The 23,596-nt window shown below is 39.7% G+C and overlaps 1 protein-coding gene, 1 long non-coding RNA gene and 1 pseudogene across 16 annotated transcripts in view, besides 5 other annotated features; 1 reads left to right on the plus strand and 2 right to left on the minus strand.

Moving 5' to 3' along the window:
- The window catches only part of RABGAP1 (RAB GTPase activating protein 1), a 173,196-nt gene that overhangs the window by 5,639 nt on the left and 143,961 nt on the right, over positions 1 to 23,596 (plus strand). For 5 of the 15 annotated variants that reach the window (XR_007061269.1, NM_012197.4, XM_024447475.2 and 2 more), the window contains exons 1-2: positions 3,711 to 3,784; positions 19,702 to 19,900. Coding sequence is in view for 12 of the 15 variants with exons in the window: in NM_012197.4 (NP_036329.3) it covers positions 19,751 to 19,900 (150 nt within the window). In the remaining 3 variants the exon portion in view is untranslated. Of the gene's footprint in view, positions 1 to 3,710; positions 3,785 to 8,022; positions 8,124 to 19,701; positions 19,901 to 23,596 lie in introns of those variants that run through there. The other 10 variants (XM_047423130.1, XM_017014567.3, XM_017014569.2 and 7 more) reach the window with 6 other exon arrangements.
- Positions 3,251 to 3,320: an enhancer, noted in NCBI's record as "active region_28931". NCBI's record gives its function as "activates an Ori minimal core promoter by ATAC-STARR-seq in GM12878 lymphoblastoid cells {active_cell/tissue: GM12878}" and the evidence as "EXISTENCE:reporter gene assay evidence [ECO:0000049][PMID:35858748]".
- LOC105379839 (uncharacterized) lies at positions 3,267 to 3,939 on the minus strand. The gene is made up of 2 exons (XR_001746924.3): positions 3,830 to 3,939; positions 3,267 to 3,626 (listed from the first exon to the last, which is right to left on the minus strand). It is a non-coding gene; the product is annotated as an uncharacterized LOC105379839 (long non-coding RNA).
- Positions 3,481 to 3,640: a silencer, noted in NCBI's record as "silent region_20245". NCBI's record gives its function as "represses an Ori minimal core promoter by ATAC-STARR-seq in GM12878 lymphoblastoid cells {active_cell/tissue: GM12878}" and the evidence as "EXISTENCE:reporter gene assay evidence [ECO:0000049][PMID:35858748]".
- Positions 3,481 to 4,234: a biological region, named in NCBI's record as "H3K27ac hESC enhancer GRCh37_chr9:125703098-125703822".
- Positions 3,510 to 4,234: an enhancer, noted in NCBI's record as "H3K27ac hESC enhancer chr9:125703098-125703822 (GRCh37/hg19 assembly coordinates)". NCBI's record gives its function as "activates a minimal SCP1, AML or CMV promoter by ChIP-STARR-seq in primed H9 embryonic stem cells {active_cell/tissue: H9 hESC(primed)}" and the evidence as "EXISTENCE:reporter gene assay evidence [ECO:0000049][PMID:30033119]".
- Positions 3,651 to 3,980: a silencer, noted in NCBI's record as "silent region_20246". NCBI's record gives its function as "represses an Ori minimal core promoter by ATAC-STARR-seq in GM12878 lymphoblastoid cells {active_cell/tissue: GM12878}" and the evidence as "EXISTENCE:reporter gene assay evidence [ECO:0000049][PMID:35858748]".
- Positions 8,679 to 8,785, minus strand: RNY1P15 (RNY1 pseudogene 15; annotated as a pseudogene).

A 23,596-nucleotide genomic window follows, 5' to 3' on the forward strand; every position in this document is an offset into this window, starting at 1 on the left:
AACAGGGCTGGGCGTGGGGTGGCTCACGCCTGTAATCCCAGCGCTTTGGGAAGCCAAGGTGGGCAGATCACCTGAGGTCAGGAGTTCGAGACCAGCCTGGCCAACATGGTGAAACCCTGTCTCTACTAAATACAAAAATTAGCTGGGCATGGTGGCGTACGCCTGTAATCTCAGCTTTTCAGGAGGCTGAGGGAGGAGAATTGCTTGAACCTGGGAGGCGGAGTTTGCAGTGAGTTGAGTTCCTGCCACTGCTCTCCAGCCTGGGTGACAGAGTGAGACTCTATCTCCAAAAAAAAACAAACAAACAGAAAAAGGACTAAAGGAAGACATGAACAAAGTCAGGAAAACAATGTATGAATAAAATTAGACTATCATTAAAGAGAAATTATAAAAAGGAGCTGAGGCCAGGTGTGATGGCTCATGCCGGTAATCCCAGCACTTTGGGAGGCCAAGGCTCGTGGATCATGAGGTCAGGAGTTCGAGACCAGCCTGGCCAACATGGTGAAACCTCATCTCTACTAAAAATACAAGAACTAGCTGGGTGTGGTGGCATGCCTGTGTTCCCAGCTACTCAGGAGGGTAAGGCAGGAGAATCACTTGAACCCAGGAGGTGGAGGTTGCAGTGCACCCAGATTGCACCACTGCACTCCAGCCTGGGTGACAGAGCGAGACTCTTAGAAAAAAAAGGAGCTGAAATGAAATTCTAGACCTGAAAGATACAGTAACTGAAATGAAAAATTTACATAGAGGGGTTCAAAAACAGATTTGAATGAGCAGAAGAAAGAACCAGCAAATTTGAATATATTTCTTTGTAAAATACCCGCGGAACCCTGTTCCTTCGTTTTACCTCCTGCTTCCTTAGCTCAAGCCTTCCTCATCTTAGGCAGCCTCCAAACTATTCTATCAACCTCCCCTTTTCCCTGCTCTAGTTTTACTAGAGTGATCTTTAAAAAAACCCCAAATCTAATATTGTCACTGTCCTTTAAAATATCCAAGGGCACCCGTGTGTCTATAGAGTGAACTTCAGTTTCCTTATTTTAGCATTCAAGGACCTTCCTATTTTGGCTCCAGCCTACTACATTGCTTTATTTCACACCAGCCCCACATTCCATTCATATACTGTAACCACATTTTCTTGGGTACAAAGTCACTTACTGAAAAAAAGTTGAGCATATTTGGAAACCAAAATTCATTTTCTGTGAATGGGATATCAATATATAGCATTGGTAGGCATTGAAACAGACTATAGTCTATTTTTAAAATGGATTAGATGATAAAAACAACATGTATGTCATCACTAATCCAGTGGTCAATATTAGCATAACTCTGTAAGATACAATAAATGTTATATCTATTGTAGATACAATGTTATGTATCTAACATAATATCTAACATGTTAGATTCATAACGTTGTATGTAATATAATGAAACATGAAGTATAACCTGTCACTTGTGAGGTATACTAGTCTGATATGTTTGACTTGAATCCACTGAGTCTTCAAATATAACTTTCTTGTTCAAGAAATACAAGGCTTGCAGGAACAAGCTCAATGACTTCATGAGGAAGCAACCACTCAGATAAAAACATTTTGCACTTCAAGTGGCCTGATTTCTACAGTGAACAAGAATCTTTTAATTTTTTTTTAAGTGCCATAATTAAAAAGTCAAGGGATGTAACCAGATGGAATGTATGGTCCTGAATTGGATAATTTGGGTATACTGGTTGTAGAAAAATATAATTTGGTCAACAGAATATTTGATTGTAGTTAGGTATTATGTGAGAGGAAATTTTCCTGTAACATTACTGAGTTAAGAAAGCCAACTGTAAAAATAACTTTAGATGGATAGAAAATGTGAATGTGATCTAGGAATTAGGTGAGAAGAAAATGTACTGAAATAAGGTAGATATTTTTAATTGAAAAAGGAGATGACTAAAGTGATCTCATTTTGAAAAAAAAAATACACACACACAGAAGGATATACTCTAAAGTATTAACATTGGCCCTGGGAATGCCATGGTTTTTTTTTGTTTTTCATTAAAACATAGAGACACGGTCTCACTATGTTGCCCAGGCTGGTCTCGAACTCCTAGGCTCAAGCCATCCTCCCACCTCAGCCTCCCAAAGTGTTAAAATTACAGGCATGAGCCACCACACCTGGCCTTTTTTATTAAAAAAAATTTTTTTTAAATGCAATGTTTTCTTTTTTTGTTGTTGTTTTAGCTTGTGTCTATTCTCCAAAGCATGTTGTACTGATTGTGTAGTACAATTTTATTTAAAAATGTATGTTAAGATTTACATAAATATTTGGGGTGTCCATGAATCAAGAAATACATGAAAGTATGGGCACCAAAACGTTAAAAGTGGTTTTGTTGGGAGTTCAGGGGATTTTACTTTCTCCCTAATACTTTATTCTTTGAATATCTTGAAATGGATATTTTGTAACTGTATAAGGAGAAAGGAAGCGAAACTATTTTTCTGCAGGGGTACACCCACATCTATTGTATTAGACAAATCACAGAGGGATTGCAACAGAACACAGATTTTTCTCACTGTTTTTTCTCTGGTTGATCGGGATGCATTATCCACCAGAAAACACTGTAGACGACTCACTCACCAGGAAAAGAGCATATGCCAGTTGGAATAAATAAAGGGGAAGAGTAAGGAAGAGGCTGTAGAATTATTTTATAAATTATCAAGTCTTATGAGCCAGGTGCAGTGGTGCATGCCTATGTACAGTCCCAGCTACTCAGGAGGCTGAGGTGGTAGGATAGCTTGAGCCCAGGAGTTCGAGGGTGGAGTGTGATATGATCGTCTGTGAATAGCCACAGCACTGCATCCTGGACAAGATAGGGTCTCTTTAAAAATAAGACTTAACTAGCACTTTAATAATCATTGTTTTTGTTCCCAACTGCATTGTACATTCATTGAGGACAGGGACTTTAAACTTCATTATATTGCTGTTGCTGTGTTTCACCTTTGAATGATTTTTAAATAAAAATCTCATCTTTGAGTCACAATCTGATGTAACCTTGTCCATTTCTGTCCTCTTGTGTGCCTTAAATGCCTTTAGGCAGCTGTGTTGTACCAGTGGTTTTAGGACTTGGCAGTCGGAAGTTTTGACTTCTAGACTGGATTCTGTAACTAAAGCTAAATTACTTTATAAAAGGAGAAAAATGGTACCATTCTGACGGGTTTGTGGTGAAGCTGAAATGAGATAGCCACATAAAGAACCATCACAATCCCTGACACACCGTGCGCCCTCAGTAAATGCCAGGTGAATTTTATTACACTGTGAAGTACTGATTTTCAAACAGGACTTGCACATGAAAGGTGAGCAGGGGGATTCCTTGCTCAAGCACCAGTACTCTGGGGTTGTACCCTTTGTTAGGCTCAACAGGTACTACCCAGTCCGCTTCCATCGTCCCCAGTCCCGGCTGCAGTCACGTAGTTGGCTGTCCAACTCCAAATACACAAGACAGCCCAGGTCCAGCTCACAGCCAGTGCACTTCGCGCAGGCGCACAGTCCTGAGGCGGGCTGAAAGCCCAGGTGGGGCTCGGAGAAGAGGAAGCTCCGCCTCGCTTCCCGGTATTGGGCCAATAGGGTCGCTCGTCATGGTCGCAGACCTATGAGACGGGGCAGGGGGCGGGGCGGAGGGCGGAAGAAGTCGCTCTCACGTGAGTAAAGGGGTGGGGGGGCGGGGACAGGGCGGTTTGGGAGGCCCAGGCGGCGGAGCCTCCGGGACGGCGAGCGGCGGGCGGCGGAGGAGGAGACGGCAGGTCGGGTAGGGCCGTGTTTCCCCTCCTCCTCCTCCCACCCTCCTACCTACCAACCCCAGGGGTATTTTCCGACGGCCCCTGCGGGGAGCCAAGCTGTCTTCTCATCCCGCGGGGTCGGGCCAGTGGAGCTGCTCTCAGCTCCCTCGACGGGCCGAGTTCTGAGGGGAGCCGTGATTGGGGGGAGGGGGAACTGCGACGGAGGGGAGAGGGCGCATGCGCAGGCTGGGCCGCTCTGGGAGCCCCTGCCCAAACCGGTTCCCCCTGTCTGTGTGGGTGCCGGTCTTCTGAGTCTTGCGTTTTTGGCCCTCCCTCTGGTCCCCCAGCAAAGCCGGTTTGTGTCTTGACTTTAATGTTTTATGCTTGGTCCTATTTGGGAATCCAGCCGCTCCCCCCCGCCTCAGTTTCTCCCCATTGCTCACTAGGCCTGTATCTGTGACTTAAGCTAGCCTGGGCCTCAGGCTGTCCTGGGCTGCGCCTAAATTTCAAAGACTTGCTAGTTTTCACTGTCGCTTTGCCATCTCAGGTTGGTCTTTCAGTCTCATTTCCCCGTCTGCAATTAAAGCGTTCTTGGCATCCCAGTCTTCTCATCTCCTTGAAGCAGCTACCCCAGTACCTCATCGCTGTGTCTTTTGATTATCCGCACCCTTAGGGTTTTACGTGTTGAGCCAAAGGATAACCTCAAGACTTCCAGGAGTTCGCTGTCCATTGCCTGGTAGTACTTTGGTCTCTGCTCTTCTGCATCCAGACTGTTTATCATCTGCTCCTGCGTTTCACGCATCTGCATACCTTTGGTTACTCGAGAATTCTTTTTTGGAAACAAATGTCCTAGGAGACCGTGTTAAGTGATCATGCTGCTAGTGTTCCCGCTACTAGTGCTCCGTTAGTTTTAAATCATGTTCCAACTTGAATTTGAGGTCTTTTGACTTTCGTTGGCTTTTTGTCAGGGAAAAAAACCTGTTAGGGACAGGGTTTCACAATTCCTTTTATATTTCCATTCACATGTATTTACAAACGTGTGCCTGGAGTAGTAAGTACACAATAAGTGAGTTTCCAGCTGTTTTTGTTTCGGAAACAAAAAACAAAACAAAACAAAACAAAAAAACAACGGAAGGTGAATGGAATTGTGTTTGTAACATTAAACTGATGTTTGAAAAGTAGTTGGGAAAAAAAGCTTAGGTACTAAGGAGGGTTCATCCAACTTTTTTTTAAACGAAGGACGTGTTGCCTTAGTTCAAGTTTGTATAAGGTGCTATTTAATATGTATTGAAGACTTAACTAGAGCTTACTTATGAAAACTGAAAATAGGGGCCGGGTGCGTTCACGCCTGTGATCCAGCATTTTAGGAGGTTGAGGCGGGTGGATCACAAGGTCAGGAGTTCGAGACCAGCCTGTCCAATATGGTGAAACCAGGTCTCTACTGAAAATACAAAAATTAGACGGGCGTAGTGGCAGGCGCCTGTAGTCCCAGCTAATCGGGAGGCTGAGGCAACAGAATCGCTTGAACCCGGGAGGCAGAGGTTGCAGTGGGCCGATATTGTGCCATTGCACTCCAGTCTGAGCAACAGAGCGAGACTCCGTCTCAAAAAAAAAAAAAAAAAAACACAAAAAAACAAAATAGGGAAGAGAAGTCTTTATAAATCTTCCTGTGTAGAGTTCACTTTGTATTAATAAAATTTCAATCCATGATTGATTTTTATGTATTGGTAACATTTAAAATTCATATGTAATTTTAATTCAAGATATTAACTCAGATTCATAATTAAAGTTGAAATATTTGTGGCGTGAGGTGATTCATGCTTGTAATCCCAACACTTTGGGAGTCTGAGGTGGGAGGACTACTTGAGTTGAGAAGTTCAAGACTGCAGTAAGCTATGATGGGTGCCACTGCACTCTAGCCTGGGTAACACAGCCAGTTCCCATCAAAAAATAAAAAATAAAAAAACAACAAAAAATCTGAGATATAGTCATGTTGTGGTGCACTTTCTTTTTTTTTTTTTTTTTTTTTTTTTTTTTGAGACTGAGTTGTGCTCTTGTTGCCCAGGCTGGAGTGATCTTGGCTCACTGCAACCTCCGCCTCCTGGGTTCAAGGAACTGATTCTCCTGACTCAGCTTGGGATTACAGGCGTGTGCCACCACGCCTAGCTAATTTTTTGTATTTTTACTAGAGACGGGGTTTCATCATGTTGGCCAGGCTGGTCTTGAACTCCTGACCTCAGGTGATCCACCTGCCTCAGCCTCCCAAAGTGCAGGGATTACAGGCGTGAGCCACTGCGCCCGGCCACACTTTCTTTTAATTGAGTGTTATGATTCAGTTTACAGTTAACGCATTGACATTAATAGGTATATATTTGTTTGGAAAGTTAACCTATCAGCTATGTGCATTTTGGCATTTTTGGCATAGTATTTTGTTTGCAGTTTATAAGAGTTGTAGTAATGTAGTGGGAACAGAGACACCTGTTTCCTACCTTTTCTGCTGCATATTGAGAGAACTGTATTATGCACTTTATCTACATGAGGGGCATGGTTTTCCACACAATTTATTAACTGAACTTTGTAGCCCAGCTTCTTTTAAAGAAGTCTGTTGGCTGGGCGCGGTGGCTCACGCCTGTAATCCCAGCACTTTGGGAGGCCAAGGCAGGCGGATAACAAGGTCAGGAGATCGAGACCATCCTGGCTAACACTGTGAAACCCCGTCTCTACTAAAAATACAAAAAATTAGCCAGGCGTGGTGGCAGGTGCCTGTAGTCCCAGCTACTCGGGAGGCTGAGGCAGGAGAATGGCGTGAACCCGGGAGGCGGAGCTTGCAGTGAGCCAAGATCGCACCACTGCACTCCAGCCTGGGCGACAGAGTGAGACTCCGTCTCAAAAAAAAAAGAAGTTTTTGTTTTTTATTCAGTATATTTCCAGCTAAAGGAAAGCCTCCTTTGGAGGTCTCATTATTTCCCAGTAGTTTTAACAAGGAATTTTTGAATACAGTTTTCAGAAAATAGTTTAAATTGGTGCTACAGGTGAGTATCTTTGTAAAAACACTGGTTTGCTAAGGTTCTGACATAGGCTGCCCATAATGTTATCTTTGTAATTTCAATATAATCAGGTATCAGTAGACTTCTCAAGCATGTGGAATAAATGAATACAACACACTTTTTTTTTTTTTTAAAAGAGATAGGGTTTTGTTCTCTTTCCCAGGCTGGAGTGCAGTAGTGCTGTCGTAGCTCACCTCAACCTTGAACTTCTGGGCACCAGTGATCCTCCTGCTTCAGCCTCCCAAGTAGCTAGGACTGCAGGCACATGCGACCACACCCAGTGAATTTTGCTATTGTTTGTAGAGACTGGGTTTCACTGTGTGGCCCAAGCTGTTATCAAACACCTGGCCTCAAGCAATCCTCCCACTCTGGCCTCCCAACGTGACAACACTCTTAAATAATCTTTGTTTGTTTCTTTTTTTTTTCTTCTTTTGAAACGGAGTCTCACTCTGTCGCCCAGGCTGGAGTGTGGCGGCACGATATCAGCTCACTGCATCCTCCCAGGCTGGAGTGCAGTGGCGTGATCTCGGCTCACTGCAACCTCCGCCTTCCGGGTTTAAGAGGTTCTCCTGCCTCAGCTTCCCGAGTAGCTGGGACTACAGGCGCGCACCACCACACCCAGATAATTTTTTTTTTTTTATTTTTAGTAGAGACGGGTTTTCACTATGTTGGCCAGGCTGGTCTCGAACTCCTGACCTCAGGTAATCCACCTGCCTCGGCCTCCCAAAATGATAGGATTACAAGAGAAAGCCACCGCGCCCGGCCTAAATAATCTTTCTTAGCAAGACTATACTTCAGGGATCGTTCCTATAGTTTGTTAAATAATGTTTCTTGGAGATAGAACTCAAATATTTAAGAAGTGCTCATTTAAGGTACGTAAAGCAGAATTTGGCATGACATTTTGGTGCTTTGTATGTAGTTACCTTGTTTTACTGAGTTTACATAGTTAGATCCCACTGAAAAAAAATTCAAGGCTCAGGACTTAATGCCCGTGAGTATGCCTGGAAAAACACCATGTATACATCATAGCTGTTGCTTTTTTTTTTTTTTTTAGCATAAACTGGTTACCTAGTCATCCCAACCACCCTCACCCCTCTGTTTTGTGTTGATCCTGAGATCATTATTCTTTAGAAACTTTGTAACAATATTGGATAGACGTTTAAGCTTACATTGTAACCATTCACGTTGACCCTAACAGCCTTGTTTCTCTTCATGTGCAGACTGACCAAATATGGAAGTGTGCAAGTCTTGAACACATTAGTTTATACAATGTGGCCTGAAAGTTTCCCTCCTCTTTCCAAATCAACCATAATATTCTGAGGTACTCAGTGAGAATTTTTTGAAGATTGTTTTCTATCAGACTTTTCCCCCTAAATCCCTTTTTCTGATCACTATACAGTGAAATAAAGCCCTAAACCTACTTTTAAGCTCCTGCCTGACATTAAATAGTATGTATGTATTATCTTGGTTGTAAAGTATGAGAAATATATCTTCTTAATTGTGTACCTCTCCAAGAATTAATGCATAGTTGTTATGTATTTCCTGTTAAGGTTGCATCAGCATTTGTGTTATAAACTACTACTCCTTGGGTTCTGTAAGTCTTTGTGGAAATAAATTTTTCTCTGTACCTAAATCTGGCATTTCTGAAGGTACATTAGCAAGTGAGTTTCTGTGGTAACTTTAACATAATGTTACTAAGTCAAACTTTAACAACAATTTGACTGTTTTAAAACTTTCTCCCTTTTTCCCTTATTTATGCATTTTGGTAACTAACCAACAACCTATGGTTTATAATTTTGTTTTCCATTTTCTGAGGATGATCTTTTATCAGTTAAGGAAATGATATGCAGAATCCTTTGGGAATATATTTTATTTTTTAAGACTACTAAAGTGCAGTAGTGAGAACGGGGAAAAGAGTAGAACAAGGAGTTTGTTCTGTAACTGACTGAACAATCGAGATAACTCACTGTCTTTGGACCAGCTTTGGGAGTATATTTTAACTATCATGAAGGATAATACGAGATAGCATACTGGAAGGCACAGAAAACACGTATCTTCTGCCAAACATTCATGGTTTGCCTACATGCATTCCCCTGAAAATCAAACAGGTCATAGAAAAGACAAATTATATTTCTGCATTTATCTTAGACTTTGATCATCTGTTGAATGATTTGCCTGCTGAGTTTTAAATTCATGTAGATTAAAGAGAAGTGAATAATACATTTTAGATCTGAATGTAAACAGATGCATATTCTAAGTGGAATAGATTCATTTTCTTTATTGTAGATGAGAAGGAACTATATTGACTAATTTCCTAAAAAGAGGAAAAGTCTTTGACTAACCCTGCGTTGCTTAAAAATACTCATATTTTTACATTTATTAAATGCTAATGTAAATTATACTGTAGAAATCTGAACAGTTTTTAAAATCTGTACTAGCAAGTCAGGAATATAATCTGACCTTGTGAATGAGTAGTACATTAACATTAAGCTGACTTTCCCTGTGTTCCCAGGGATAGCTTCTATTGTGGACGTGGAATCCAAATAACAATTTAAATATTTAGTTTCACAGATATTGTGTTGAAATGGCATTAAGCCAGCATATGTAGAGTTCTGGAAAAAATTAAAGTGTGTTTCCTGAAATATCCATGGGAACATGAGAAAACCATTGGCAAGATTTTTTTCAGGTGTCAGCATTATCACACTCATAATTAACAGAGTTAAATGAACTCTGTTTTATGCACATTTCATCCCTACTTGTTACCTCTTGTACCTTTCATTAGAAGTATGAAGTATCAAGATATAGTGGGGAGAGTATGAACTTTGGGGTGAGAAAGACATGGATATCCCAAGTCTCTGAGAAGGAGTGATTAAGTAGCTTATCCTCAGAAACTCCATTTTTAAACATGGAGCTACTTACATCTACCTCATGGAACTGTAATGGAAAACACCTGATATCCCCCCTAAAGACCCTATAAAGTTATAATTATTTTGAAACTTACTTTTATTGAAGGATAAATGTGGCATACATACATTGAAATATTATTCAGCCTTAGGGAAATTGTGACACATGCTACAATATGAATAAACCTTGAAGACTTATACTAAATGAAATAAACCAGTTATGAAATGATAAATATTGTGTAATTCCACTGCTTATATGATACACCTAGAGTAGTCAATTTCTTAGAGATGGAAAGTAGAATAGTGGTTTTTGGAGGAGGAAGAGAATAGGGAATTAGTGTTAATGGGCACAGAGTTAAGAAAGGAAATGTTCCAAGGATAGATGATGGTGATGGTTGCATGACAATGTAAATGTATTTAATGACACAAAATTGTACACTTCCGTGGCTAAGATGGTAATGTTTGTGTTATTACTTAATCACAATGCAAAAAGATTACAACTTATAAAAAAGATGTTTTAAAGTTTTATTTTGTTTTACAATTTCCTGTATTTGTTTAATTCCGATATCTTTTTTAGTTAATGTAGAATTGAACTAAAAGTGATTTAATAGTTTAAAGAAGTAAATTGTCACAGTTACGGTAGGCTCAAATTTGCCTAAGCGTGAGTTTTAGATAAGCTAGTTTTTCTTGCCTTTAAGTGCAGGTAGGCCCAAGATGATTGTTTTGATTCTTTTGGTTTTGGTTTTGGTTTTTTAACGTAACCTGAAATTAATCAGAAAGCTTAAATTATTATGATTCTCTTAGCTCACTAAAATAATTCAAAGAAATAGTCTCAAAATTCAGAGTCAGAATGAAAACAAAGACATCTATTGTTTAGCAGTTAGTAGTGGTGGAAAGGAATTTATTTTTATAAAGAAGGGATGGTGTTCCATTGAGTTTTGTTTGATTTGTCCCACCCTTTCCAGGGATAGGCTGTGTGAAATTCATGTGAAAACCAGTGCAGTGAAACAAAGTTCAGAGCCAGGAAAACACACACACACACACACACACACACACACACACACACACAAACTGAAACTAATGCAATGTGATTTTTTATAGCTTCTTTGTACCCTGCTTGTTTAATTTTAAAGAGCTACAAACCCACAGGAATTATCCTGCTACAGCATCTTTCAGACTTGATTCTTTTGTTGCATCCTGTCTTGTTCTTTTTCTAAACAGAGAGTAAACTCACCAGATTTGTGTTTTAGAAGGGTACAACTGGGAGCAGCATAGAGGATGGATTGGAATTGGGAGAGGATGGAGATAGGGACATCGAGAGGGAGAGAGATGCAATCCAGAAAAGAACAGAGACACCTAGATACTTGGGTTTGGATCAAGTTCCACAATTTTCTCTCTGAACTTAAGCGAGTTACTCAGCCTGCCCAAGCCTTAGTTTGTCTGTCATATGAACTTAATACCCATCTGGCAAGGTGTGAAGATTAGTAATAATGCAAGTAAAACTTGTTCGTACCATGTTGGGCATATAATTGACACTCAAGAAGTAATAAGTATTGTTTTCTCTTTTGATTTAGCAAGATGATTTAGTCATCTTGCTTAAGATTCCCTAAAGCTGTACCCATTTTTTCACTGGTTGAGCAACAAAAATGATGGGGATTGGGAGGGAAGTGGTTAGTGTTTGGTCCAAAGGGAACCCAAGGTATATTTTTTGTGACTGTGTTAACTGTTTTTTGATCATGACAGTTGGGGATTTGATGAAGAGTTTAGTCTTCATCCATGTCCACATCCCCAGTACATGCATGTAGAGTAGCATGTTTGTCATTTGTTTTCCTCATATTACTTAGACCCTACTAGTTAAACAGCCATGAAGTATATTCAACCAACCAAATTTATTGAACACTGCCCGTAAGTAAGGAAATGAAATTACTACGAGTAAAACATAAGACCCCTGTCCACAAGTAGTTTGGGGGACTCTTTGTGCCCGTTATACTCCCAGCATTTGACATGGTGGTTTATACTCAGTAATTGCTTCTGGAATGAATGGATTGATCAATATAGCGGAGTAGAAAAGAAGCGTTGGGCTAGGTGCGGTGGCTCACGCTTGTAATCCCAGCACTTGGGGAGGCTGAGGCAGGTGGATCATTTGAGGTCAGGAGTTTGAGACCAGCTTGGTCAACATGGTGAAACTTCATCTCTACTAAAAATACAAAAATTACGGCTGGCTGCGGTGGCTCACACCTGTAATCCCAGCACTTTGGGAGGCCTAGGTGGGTGGATTACCCGAGGTCAGGAGTTTGAGACCAGCCTGGCCAACATGGCGAAACCCCGTCTGTGCTAAAAATATAAAAATTAGCCAGGCGTGGTGGCGGGCACCTGTAATTCCCAGCTACTTGGGAGCCTGAGGCAGGAAAATCGCTTGAACCTGGGAGGCGGAGGTTACAGTGAGCTGAGATCATGCCATTGCACTCCAACCTGGGCAACAAGAGTGAAACTCCATCTCAAAAACAACAATAACAAAACAAAAACAAAAATTAGCTGGGCGTGGTGGTGCATGCCTGTAATCCCAGCTATTCAGGAGGCTGAGGCAGGAGAATCGCTTGAACTCTGGAGGCAGAGGTTGCAGTGAGCCAAGATCATACCACTGCATCCAGCCTGGGTGACAAAGCAAGACTCTGTCTCAAAAAAAAAAAAAAAAAAGGAAAAAAAAAAAGTGTTGATATTATTTTACTGTGTGGTAAATGCTATAATTCTGTGATGAACTAAAAAACAAAAAGCCTGAGGAGCCCTAGAAGACAATAACACTGCAGAAGGGAAAGGGGGAGGTTGAATACTTGATTGTATCCACTAGGTTGCTGTTGGTGGAGAAAGGCTGATTGCGGAAACAAAAACACATTCCCAGCTGAGCAAGCAGCATATGAAAAGGCTTGAAAGCATTAAAATGCATGACATATTTGTGTATATAGTATGGTGTGACAGAAGAAGATAAGACTAGAATGGAAATTGGCTCCAGATTTTGAAGAACTAAATAATACAAGGATTTTGGATTTTATTGTATTTTCAGTCAGGAGCAATAAATAGTTTTGAGGAAAGGGGAGGTATGGGATATATGATCAGATCTAAGTTTTAGAAATTAACTTTGGGGGCTAAATAATCAATGACTAGGAAGAGTCTAGAATGAAACACTTGTTATAGCCAGGTTGAAAGAGAATAAAATACAAGTCAATGACATGAGGGATAGTGAAGAAGGAATATATTTGGGATATGTTTTAGAACTAAAATCCATTATTCCAAGGGAGGGTGAGAAAAGGAGGAGTCAAGATTTGTTTTGGTTTGGTGTCTTTTTTTTCTTTTTCTTTTTCTTTCTTTTTTTTTTTTTTTTTTTTTTGATGTTGTTTTGAATCTGTGGCTGTTAACCAGGATAGAGAATCTAGAAAGAAGAATCTGCTGACGCGTGGGGATTAAATGGTTTAGTTTTGCAAGGAATTGGTTTTGAGATGACCATAGGACGCATATAGTAGAGCCCTGCTGTGTATTCTCATAACACCCTTTACACACCTCTGTTATAACAAGCACTATATTATAATTACCTGTTTACTGGTCTGTTTTCTCTACCACTGTAAGCCTGTCAAAGGTAAGGAGTGTCTTTTATTCCTCACCATAATTCTATACCTGGTGTCTGGCACATATCAGACTCTTTGATACTGAATAGAAGAAAAAGAAAATATAACACAAATACCCATGTGGAATTCAAGAGAAAAGACAGTGCTAGTGTTATCAGCATACAATAGAAAGCTGTAACCATGTTAGCTAATGAGATAGCCAGTGAAAAGAAGGACGATGATGTGATTTTAAAAATAGAAGAAAAGGAACCTAAATCAGAACTAAGAAAAGATAGTGGTAGGAAATGGATGCAAAAGGATAAGAGTTTCAGAATAAGAAAATGGCCAGCATTTTCATTTACTTCAGCAGGTGGAAGTAAGAAATAATTCTTTGGGTTGTGAAATTTTGTAGTATTGATGGTTTTTAAGGGGTTCAGTGAAAGTGAGAAGTAACGGGGTGGTATTTTTGAGAGGGACTGTTTAGAACAGTGGGGAGTTCCATTGAAGTGGTAGAGGTGGAGGCATTAATACTACTCTTTCAAGAAGAAAATCTCAAGAAAACCAAAGAAATAAAGGTTAACCAAGCTTTGGATGAGGCACTAGCACATTTTGTCTCAAGCATGTCAGGTTCAATTATTAGTATCACCCACACCTCTTATTAAGCTAGGTAGGTCACTTACTGGGAGGTGGTTTTGCCTCTGCTAATTGCACATTAGCAAATCCATGCCACTGCATGTCACTGTTACTTCTCAGATGTTAGTTAACTAGAAACAATACAAATATCTGATAGTACTCTGTCTCAAAAAAAAAAAAAGTTGAAGTTTTTAAAAAAGTAAACACTGATTGTTCAAGAACCGACTGCCTTTGAAGGACTCTTAAAAGAGGTTTTATCATGGCCAGTTCTTTCCATTTCACTCTGTTAACTACAGTGCTTAAGAGGAGATTGAGAATGAATGTGAATTTTTTTTTTTTTTTGAGATGGGGTCTCACTCTGTCACTTAGGCTGGAGCGCAGTGTCTCCATCATAGTTCACTGCAGCCTAGAACCCCTGGACTCAAGCAGTCCTCTGGCTCAGCCTCCCAAGTAGCTGGCACTACAGGCACACACCACCACACTTGACTAATTTTTAAATATCTTATTTTAGAGATGGGATGTAACTATATTGCCCAGGCTGGTCTTGAAATCTTGGCCTCAAGCGACCCTCCCACCTCAGCCTCTCAAGTTTTTGGGATAATAGGCATGAGCCACTGCTCCTGGCTAATTGTGAATCTTTATTTAGCAATATGGAGATGCATTTTATGCTGGGGTACATAATTGAGCATAGAATTGGCACTTACGGCACAGAGCAGTGACTGTAGGCAAAAAGTTCATGGAGTTTTGGTATACGGGACTAATTTGCAATAAAAATCTGTAGTGATCTTTAATGTCTCTGTAAGAATAAAAGTAGTGAAAGAGTAGCTATAATGAAAATAAAGCATAATTGAACTTTTAGGTGTGATGGAAGAGGCTGTATAAGTGAACATAATTGTCTGTCACCTCAAGTGACTTGACTTTTTTAAAAGAGAGGTAAGGCTGGGTACGGCAGTTTATGCCTGTAATCCCAGCACTTTGGGTGGCTGAGAATTTTTTTTTAAATTTTTTATTTTTTTTATTTTTATTTTTTGAGACAGAGTCTCGCTCTGTCGCCCAGGCTGGAGTGCAGTGGTGCGATATTGGCTCACTGCAAGCTCCGCCTCCTGGGTTCATGCCATTCTTCTGCCTCAGCCTCCCGAGTAGCTGGGACTACAGGCGCCTGCCCCCATGCCTGGCTAATTTTTTTTTCTTTTTTGTATTTTGAGTAGAGACGGGGTTTCACCGTGTTAGCCAGGATGGTCTTGATCTCCTGATCTCGTGATCTGCCCGCCTCGGCCTCCCAAAGTGCTGGGATTACAGATGTGAGTCACTGTGCCTGGCTGATAAATTTTTTTAAAAAATTACCTGGGCATGGTGGCACACACTTGTGGTCCTAGCTACTCAGGAGGTGGAGGTAGGAGGATCACCTGAGCCCGGGAGTTTGAGGCTGCAGTGAGCTAGGATCACACTACCACATTCCAGCCTGGGCGACAGAGCAAGACCCTGTCTCAAAAGTAAAAGCATCCTTGAACTTGCATCCACCAACCTGCCCTGTTGGTAATTGGACTTGTTATAAGGATCTAGGCTCATCACTTCTATAAAAGGAGGAGACAAACTGTGAGTGCTTACCTACCAAATACCAGGCTATTCATATGTATCTTATTTCAAATGGATAATAATCCTTATTCTATCTGTTTTACAGAATTGTTAGGATGATAAAATGAGATACAAATGTGTACATTTTATTCCTTTCTGTGATACATAAAGGATATTTATTCAAAGTACTATTTTGCTTTTATTTAGATATTAACAACTTAGAATGTGAAATTAGGAAATTAATTTATTTATTTTTTCCTCAGTAATGTGTTTCCCGACTAACAATCAAATTAACTCATACAGGCACTGTAGACATAAGCCAAGAAGTAGAGATAGTATAAGTATTTTAATTTGGATTACTTAAATCAGTTAATAACTGTTAAATTTTTTTGAATTTGAAGTTAGTTTTTGAAAAGCTGTAACTATTGGGCGCTTATAATGTTCTTTGTGTATTGTTAAATGTTTTATGTATAGTCCTTAGTAATTTATACAGTAGCTCTATGAGATCGATAGTATAACATTACCTCTATGGAAACTGAGGCTCAGTGTGACAAGCTCATACTATTAGTAGTAGAACCAGTATCTTTTTTTTTTTTTTTGAGACAGAGTCTTGCTCTGTTGCCAGGCTGGAGTGCAATGGCACAATCTCAGCTCACTGCAAGCTCTGCCTCCCGGGTTCAAGCAATTCTCTTGCCTCAGCCTCCCGAGTAGCTGGGACTACAGGCGTGCGCCACCATGCCCAGCTAATTTTTATATTTTAGTAGAGATGAGGTTTCACTGTGTTGGCCAGGATGGTCTCGATCTCTTGACCTCGTGATCCACCCGCCTTGACCTCCCAAAGTGCTGGGATTATAGGCGTGAGCCACTGCGCCCGCCCGGAACCAGTATTTTAACTTAGGTATTTCTTAACTCCTAATTGTGTGCTTCAGCATCACAAATATGACCTCTGTTCTTTTTGTCAATTTATAAAAGGTGGCCTTACTTTTTCCTTGGGTGGCTCTTGCTCTTTTCCATCTTTATTTGCTATTTATCCTACTTCTTTAACAAATAGTTGAGCACCTGCTATGTGCCAGGCATTATTACAGGTGCTAGGGGTCCAACACTTAATCAGACATAAAAAAGCCTGCCCTCATGAACCTTAGGTTCTAGTTTACATTATACTTAAATTACCAAAATATATGTCAAGCGGTTATAGGTTCTATGGAGTGCAGGGCGTTGGAGGGAGGAATTTTGGTACTTTATTGTCAATGGGAATTAGAATTAAAGTCTGAAGGATGAAGAATTAGAGTAAGGGACTTTTTATGGTAACTGATGTAAGTAGGGATTAAAAAGAAATCCCTTATGGTCTTGAGACAGAGGTTGTGAATCTCTAGATTTTGCCAGAAGTGCAGCAAGTTCTGGGGTACCTCTTCATTGTGGAGGCCAGGGAATGGGTGGTTTTATCTATGTTTGTGGAGCTGATGGACTACTCCCTCTTCACTTCTGTCTATGGAGGCCAGAGAAAAGGAATCTTATTGTATAATTTTTCCTTTACTACTTAGTGTTTTGATAAACCTCATTCCTGCTGAGTGATTCAGTTACTTTCAGTTGCCAAAACAAATAATAAAGTATTTTATAAAGTGTATTTTCCTATCACCTTCTCAAAGAAAGTAGGTGGAACTTTGAGCTTGCCAAATCTTCTCAGTTCCTTAGTGTAATTACCAAAGTACATTGTTTTTGAGTCCAGAGTAGTAGTATACAAAGTTGTTAGTGTCTGAGACCAGAGCTTTAGACCACTTTCCCAGGCCCTCTGGCATCCAACTGGTAATCACATTATAAAAGATGGATAAAAGACTTAATTGATTGAGCATGAAAACTTCTCTTGAAGTACAAATTCTAAAAAAAAGATAAAGACTCCTTTACCCAATACTGAGTGTTTTGGGACAAGGCCCAAATTTGTGGCATTAGAAAAGCTTCATAATCGAGTGGAAAGAGTATAGCCTTTTGGAGTCAGATAACTGGGTTTAATTTTTGACTTTGACTCTAACCACATTACATTGAACAAGTTACACCATCTCTCTAAGACTTAATTTCCTCATTTTTGAAATAGAGATGTGACAAATTAAAAGGCACTCACCATTAAATTATAAAACAACATAATAGATGCTGTAGAAAAATCAAATGTAAAATGCTGTAGGAACAGATATAAGGGCAACAGTTCTTTGGATTCTGGGGTGAGAACGGGCAAGTGGACTGAGAAGACTACTAAGAGAGGGAGATTTTTACATCATGAGTGATGAGTTGGAGTTGATCAAGTACAAAAGTGAGGGAACCACTTCAGGAAGAGAATCCTGTGAGGGCAAATATCTAAAGGAATAAAGTGTATTTCCTTAGCAAAGGTCTAAGTTAGTCCTTCTCCCAACATGTTCCCATAATTTTCTTTACCCTAAATCAGTACTTATTAGGTACGATTTGCTTCTGTTCTCTACTAAACTATAAACTTTGGGGCAAGGTTCTATTTTCTTTTGTTTATCATAGCTTACTCTTTGTACATTATCTACTCAATAAGTATTCAATGAATGGATTAAGTGAATCATTTTTCTTTGAATTTTTCAAAAGTACAATTTGAAATGTTTTTGAATGCCATACTATGTATTTAGATTTGGTCTTATGAAATGCAGATGTGTAATAGCTGTTAAGCAGGGGAATTAGTTTAAATAAAAGGCAGCAGAGAGTCCAGGCTTCTAGCCTTAGCTGTGCCATTAACTGGTTAAATGACCTTACTTCTCTTGGGGTTGCCATTTCTTTATCTAACAGTATTGATTTGTAAGTTTTTTTTTTCCTACTTTTTACTCTGCCATCAACTTGATTTTAGATTTCTAAGTTTTCTTCCAACTATAATACTCAGGGATTGTGTAGTTTCTCCTGCCAGATGTTTATATGTGGGCCTTTTAGGGGAAAATTGTGTTTGACACATGGTGTATGCTCCATAAATATATAGTCAATGATTAAAAATCCAAAGCATAAATCAGGACTTCTCAGTCAGAGAAATTAAACAGATTTTTAGAACCTTACATCTTTGAGGTACTAGATGAACATGGAGCCATAGCTACTTTTGTTAATGAGTATAACGTTATATCGTTTTGTTGATGTTGTGACAACCAAATGAAACATTGCCACAAAGTTTGCAGAACTAGGTTTTAAAATGATGGTGAGTTTAAGTTTCATTCCAAGACTCAATAAATAATTGAATGAATTTTCATAAGTGACACATATTTATACTTTTTGCTGGGAATTTTTGGTATGAAACCCTTATTTGGGTAATGTTCATATTGAGCTGAGTTCTAAGAAACTGTGGTGTGGGAAGATGCAGTTTTTAATGAACTTCTCCTTTCTTGCTTTGTAAGGTATTTCCCAGCTCTAGAGTTTATGCTAAAGTTTAACTGCCTTGAATTTTTCCTGTTGGGTGTTAATGTGAAATTTGGCCTGTTAAAACCATGTTAATATTTTAAATTTAAGTATCAATAATGCTAGGAAAACCTTATTGTGCCCTCACAATAACTAAGTGCTTTCCATTTCATTTACATGTACAACTTTAAAAATTAGACGGTAGGCCGAGACCGGCGGATCACGAGGTCAGGAGATCAAGACCATCCTGGCTAACACGGTGAAACCCCGTCTCTACGAAAAATACAAAAAATTAGCCGGGCGTGGTGGCAGGCACCTGTAGTCCTAGCTACTCAGGAGGCTGAGGCAGGAGAATGGCGTGAACCCAGGAGGTGGGGCTTGCAGTGAGCCGAGATCCCGCCACTGCACTCCAGCCTGGGCGACAGAGTGAGACTCCGTCTCAAAAAAAAAAAAAAAAAATTAGAGGGTAGAAAACAGAAGGCTAATACTTATATATTTTTGGAGGCTAAGACTTGAATTGCAACTTAGCCCAAAGAAATCACTGTAAGTAGTTAGGGTTATCCTGAAGGGAATATGTTTTATTTATTTTTTTGAAGTCTGAAATATCTTGGCCTTGAATAGCATGAAATTCCCTTATTATCTGGAATAAAAAAAAACCCTAAGCTATAAGTAGTGAAAGTCTTAGGAAAATATTTTTGAAGCATTTAAAAAAAAATTCTGAATATGTTGTGTAAGAAGTACAGTGTAATTGAATATCTGGCAGACATTCTATATGAGTATCTTTATGGTTTTTGTTTTTCAGGCATTAAAAAATATTTAATCATTCATGTGTTGAGACTCATTCTTGAGTTATGGATGACAAGGCTTCTGTTGGAAAAATCAGTGTCTCTTCAGACTCAGTATCTACTCTTAATAGTGAAGATTTTGTCTTGGTTTCCAGGCAAGGAGATGAGACACCATCTACAAATAATGGAAGTGATGATGAGAAAACAGGACTCAAGGTAAAACTCCCTAACCTAAGATTGTTTTGCTTAGCTTTTCTAAGCCCATTGCAAAACTTGGCCTTAACAGAAAACAGATATGGGAGGAAAGTGAGAACATGGAAGTAATATACTTCTTTTTCTTTAAAGAATTTTATTTGCACTTAGTGAGAAGTTTGTATTTGATTAAAGATTTTCACTCTGATTAGCTTTTCCTAAATTTTTCAATACCCCTAAGTGTCAAAACTAGTGGTTATAGTATAAACATTTGTCATTTTAGTATTGTTTTCACTTTTCCATTGAATTACAAGTACTTGTTTTGTTTGGTCCTGGTTTACATAATGTAAGGGCACTGGCAGGTCAAAGATGCTATTTATGAAAATGTGTTTTAGGATTATTGAAACAACTTTAAATACCTGGCCATTTTTTTTTTTATAATTTCTCAGCCACTATTACTTATTTTCCAATGCCCTATTATTGTTCTACTCTTTATTGATATAAATAAAAACAGATTATCTGTTAAAGTTGTCATTTAAAATATAAGTAGCTTTAAAAATGTTTTAATTCCTGTTAACATCTTTTCTTGCAACAAATGTTTACTAAGTAATGACTATATGCCAATTATTGTTCTAAGTACTGGGGATATAGTGGTGAACAACACAGGCAAAACTCCCTGCCCTTCTAGAGCTTTAATTCTTTTTTTTTTTTTTTAAGAATGAATCATCCATTTTATTTTATTTTGTCATGTGCTCAACAGCATCTCTCTCTCTCTCCCCTCTCCCTGGCAGGTCACAGAGATAAATTAAAAATAAAATCTACAAGGAAAATAATTTATGAAAGCACTCCCAGGTTCACACCTTCTATCCCTACTGCTCAGTTAGGCACCCCCTAACTGGGAATCAGTGCTTCCCCCCACCCCCATTTCACTCCCACTTGTCTGGGGCAGACGGTACTCCAGAGCCGGGCAGGGGTGAGGGCAGCAGTGGCAAACAGTTAAAAATAAAGACATTGTAGTCCTGGAACCATCTGGCCACCTTGGCATTCCCATGTCTGCCTCCCCCAGGCAGCCCTCCAGGAGCCTGTGCGAAGCTGGGGCTGTGGAGAAGCTGCCTATGGCTGAGAGCTTGTGTGTTTGGGGAGGTGTAGAGCTTTAATTCTAATGGGGGAAATAGACTCTAAGCAAATAAGAAAATAAATATATCAAGTAAATTTAGGTGCTGTGAAGAATAACAAAACAGGATATGTGGATAAACAGTGAACAACGTTATGATTGTTCCTTGACTTTTAAAAATTTTTGTCAAAATGAGAATACTTGGACACAGGATGGGGAACATCACACACAGGGGCCTGTCGTGGGGTGGGGGGAGCAGGGAGGGATAGCATTAGGAGAAATACCTAATGTAAACGACAAGTTAATGGGTGCAGCATACCAGTGTGGCACATGTATACATATGTAACAAACCTGCACATTGTGAACATGTACCCTAGAACCTAAAGTATAATTTTAAAAAAAAATTTTTGTCAAAATTTTGAAAACTTGCCAGGTGTTGTGGCTCACACCTATAATCCCAACGCTTTGGGAGGCCTTGGCAAATGAATCACTTGAGCCTAGGAGTTGGAGACCAGCCTGGGGAACATGGCAAAACCCCATTTCTACAAAAGTCTAAAAAATTAGCCAGGTGTGGTGGCACACACCTTCAGTCCCCACTACTTGGGAGGCTTAAGTGGGAGGATTGATTGAGGCCAGGAGGTGGAGGCTGCAGTGAACCATGATCACACCACTGTACTTCAGCCCGGGTGACAGAGTGAGATCCTGTCTCAAAAAAGAAAAAACCCTTACTCTTACTCATAAATATATAGAGGAATAAATAAAAAACAGTAAAACTTAAAAAAATTAATTAATAAGAGTGAATGACAGGTGCTTTTTTAGAGAAGGTCTTGAGATGACATTTGAGGTGAGGCCCAAATGAAGTGAGGAGGAAGGCCATGGAAAAATCTGGGAAAAGAGCTTTCCAGTTAGAGCAGCAAATAGACCATGAGGAGAACCACCCTTGCTAGGACAGGGGTTAGAGCAGAGTGAACAAAGTAAAAAGCAGTAAAGGATGAGATCCAGTAGTGGGCATGGGCTGGATTGTGTAGAACCCTGTGGAGCTTAATAGAAAGTGTGGGGCTTTACAAAAAAAAAAAAAAAAAAAAGAGTGGAAATTTTGGAGAGTTTTGAATGGGATCATGATCTAATTTATATTTTTAAAAGCTCACTGGTTAAGAGGGACTTGTAGGATGACAGCATGTTCTACTCCTCAGCAGAACTGGTGACAATTACAAAAATAAAACATTTAAGGTCTCTGAAAGTGTTTTAAAGGAAATACAGCAAATGAAAAAACATTTATTCAAGAAAATTCATAAAATTTGGTCAGAGGGGCAAGAACCTGTTATTGGTAACAAGACCTGCCCTTTCCTTACCCTATCCCAGCTGAGAGAGATGGTAACTCTTCTCCATATTGGTGCAGTGAAGAAGACAAGAATCCCTGTCCCCCATCAGCTCCCATTCTGGGCTATCTTCCAAAGCAGGAGCAAGATATCATTATTTCTCATCCTGCTTCCCCATGCCTGTTTCTGGCCAAGTGTGACTAAGAGTTGGGGGCCTTGTTTTTCTGCCCAGCCCCTGCTCCTGGGACAGAGGCTTTACTTTGGGCAGAGCAACTAACCCTGGGGTGTCACTCAGTGACACACAGTGTGTCATTGTCTCTACTTCCAGCTCCAAAGCCATGTCTCAGAGATTTTACCTTCAGAGAAAAGTTGGCCTTAAAGCAGCCTTCTTAAAGGAATGGGCTTCATGCACGACAGAGTATAGAAAAGTTTAAGCCTAAGGTTACTCTAAAAAATAGTGGAGGTTGTGGTGAAAGGTAATTGGGGAAGATTGGTAGATTGATGGGACATTTAGGCTTGACTATAGATGTGCTCATTTGCCTGAGGAAACTAGGGAAAGACACAGCTGGGAGGAGATCACCAAGGGTCAAAACAAATCTCAACCCTTGACCTCTGGAACTTTCACTTCAAAGATACCCAAGTTTGATTGACTTAGACTATGGAACAGTTTATACTGTAGTGCATTGTTGAAATCATTACAGGAATCAGACAGCAATTAGTGTAATTTAACAAGCTAGTTGTGGTCAGAGAAACCAAGAATCAGCGAGAGCCCTGCCCAAACCACTCTCATCCCAAGGTGACAGTGAGCAATCTCAAGTCTGAGCTCCCTGAGGAGCAACTCCAGAGGCTTAACACTAGACAATGGAATCTACAAAAATCAACTAGCCAGTCACCCAATAAACAAGCATCAACAATAACAAATCTTGCAGTGGGGAGGCCAGTACTTAGTGTTGGTACTGTATATTATCTCAAGTATCTAGTTTCTAACCAAAAATTATAAGACATTCAGAGAAACAAGAAAATATGACCCAGACATCCCGTTAAAAAAGCAAGCTACAGATACTGCCTGTGAGAGTGACTGGTTGAGTTTAACACAGAGCTTTCAAGGTAGCTATTATTAATATATTCAGCAAACTAAAGGAAATCATGTAGAAATGAAGGCGTGATGATAGTTTCACATGAAACAGAGAATATTAATAACGAGATAGAAATCATTTTAAAAAGAAGCAAATGGAAATTCTGGAATGGAACATCACAGTAACTGAAATGAAAAACTCACTTGAGGGC

Source organism: Homo sapiens, chromosome 9 (assembly GCF_000001405.40).
Source record: "Homo sapiens chromosome 9, GRCh38.p14 Primary Assembly".
Lineage (NCBI taxonomy): Eukaryota > Metazoa > Chordata > Mammalia > Primates > Hominidae > Homo > Homo sapiens.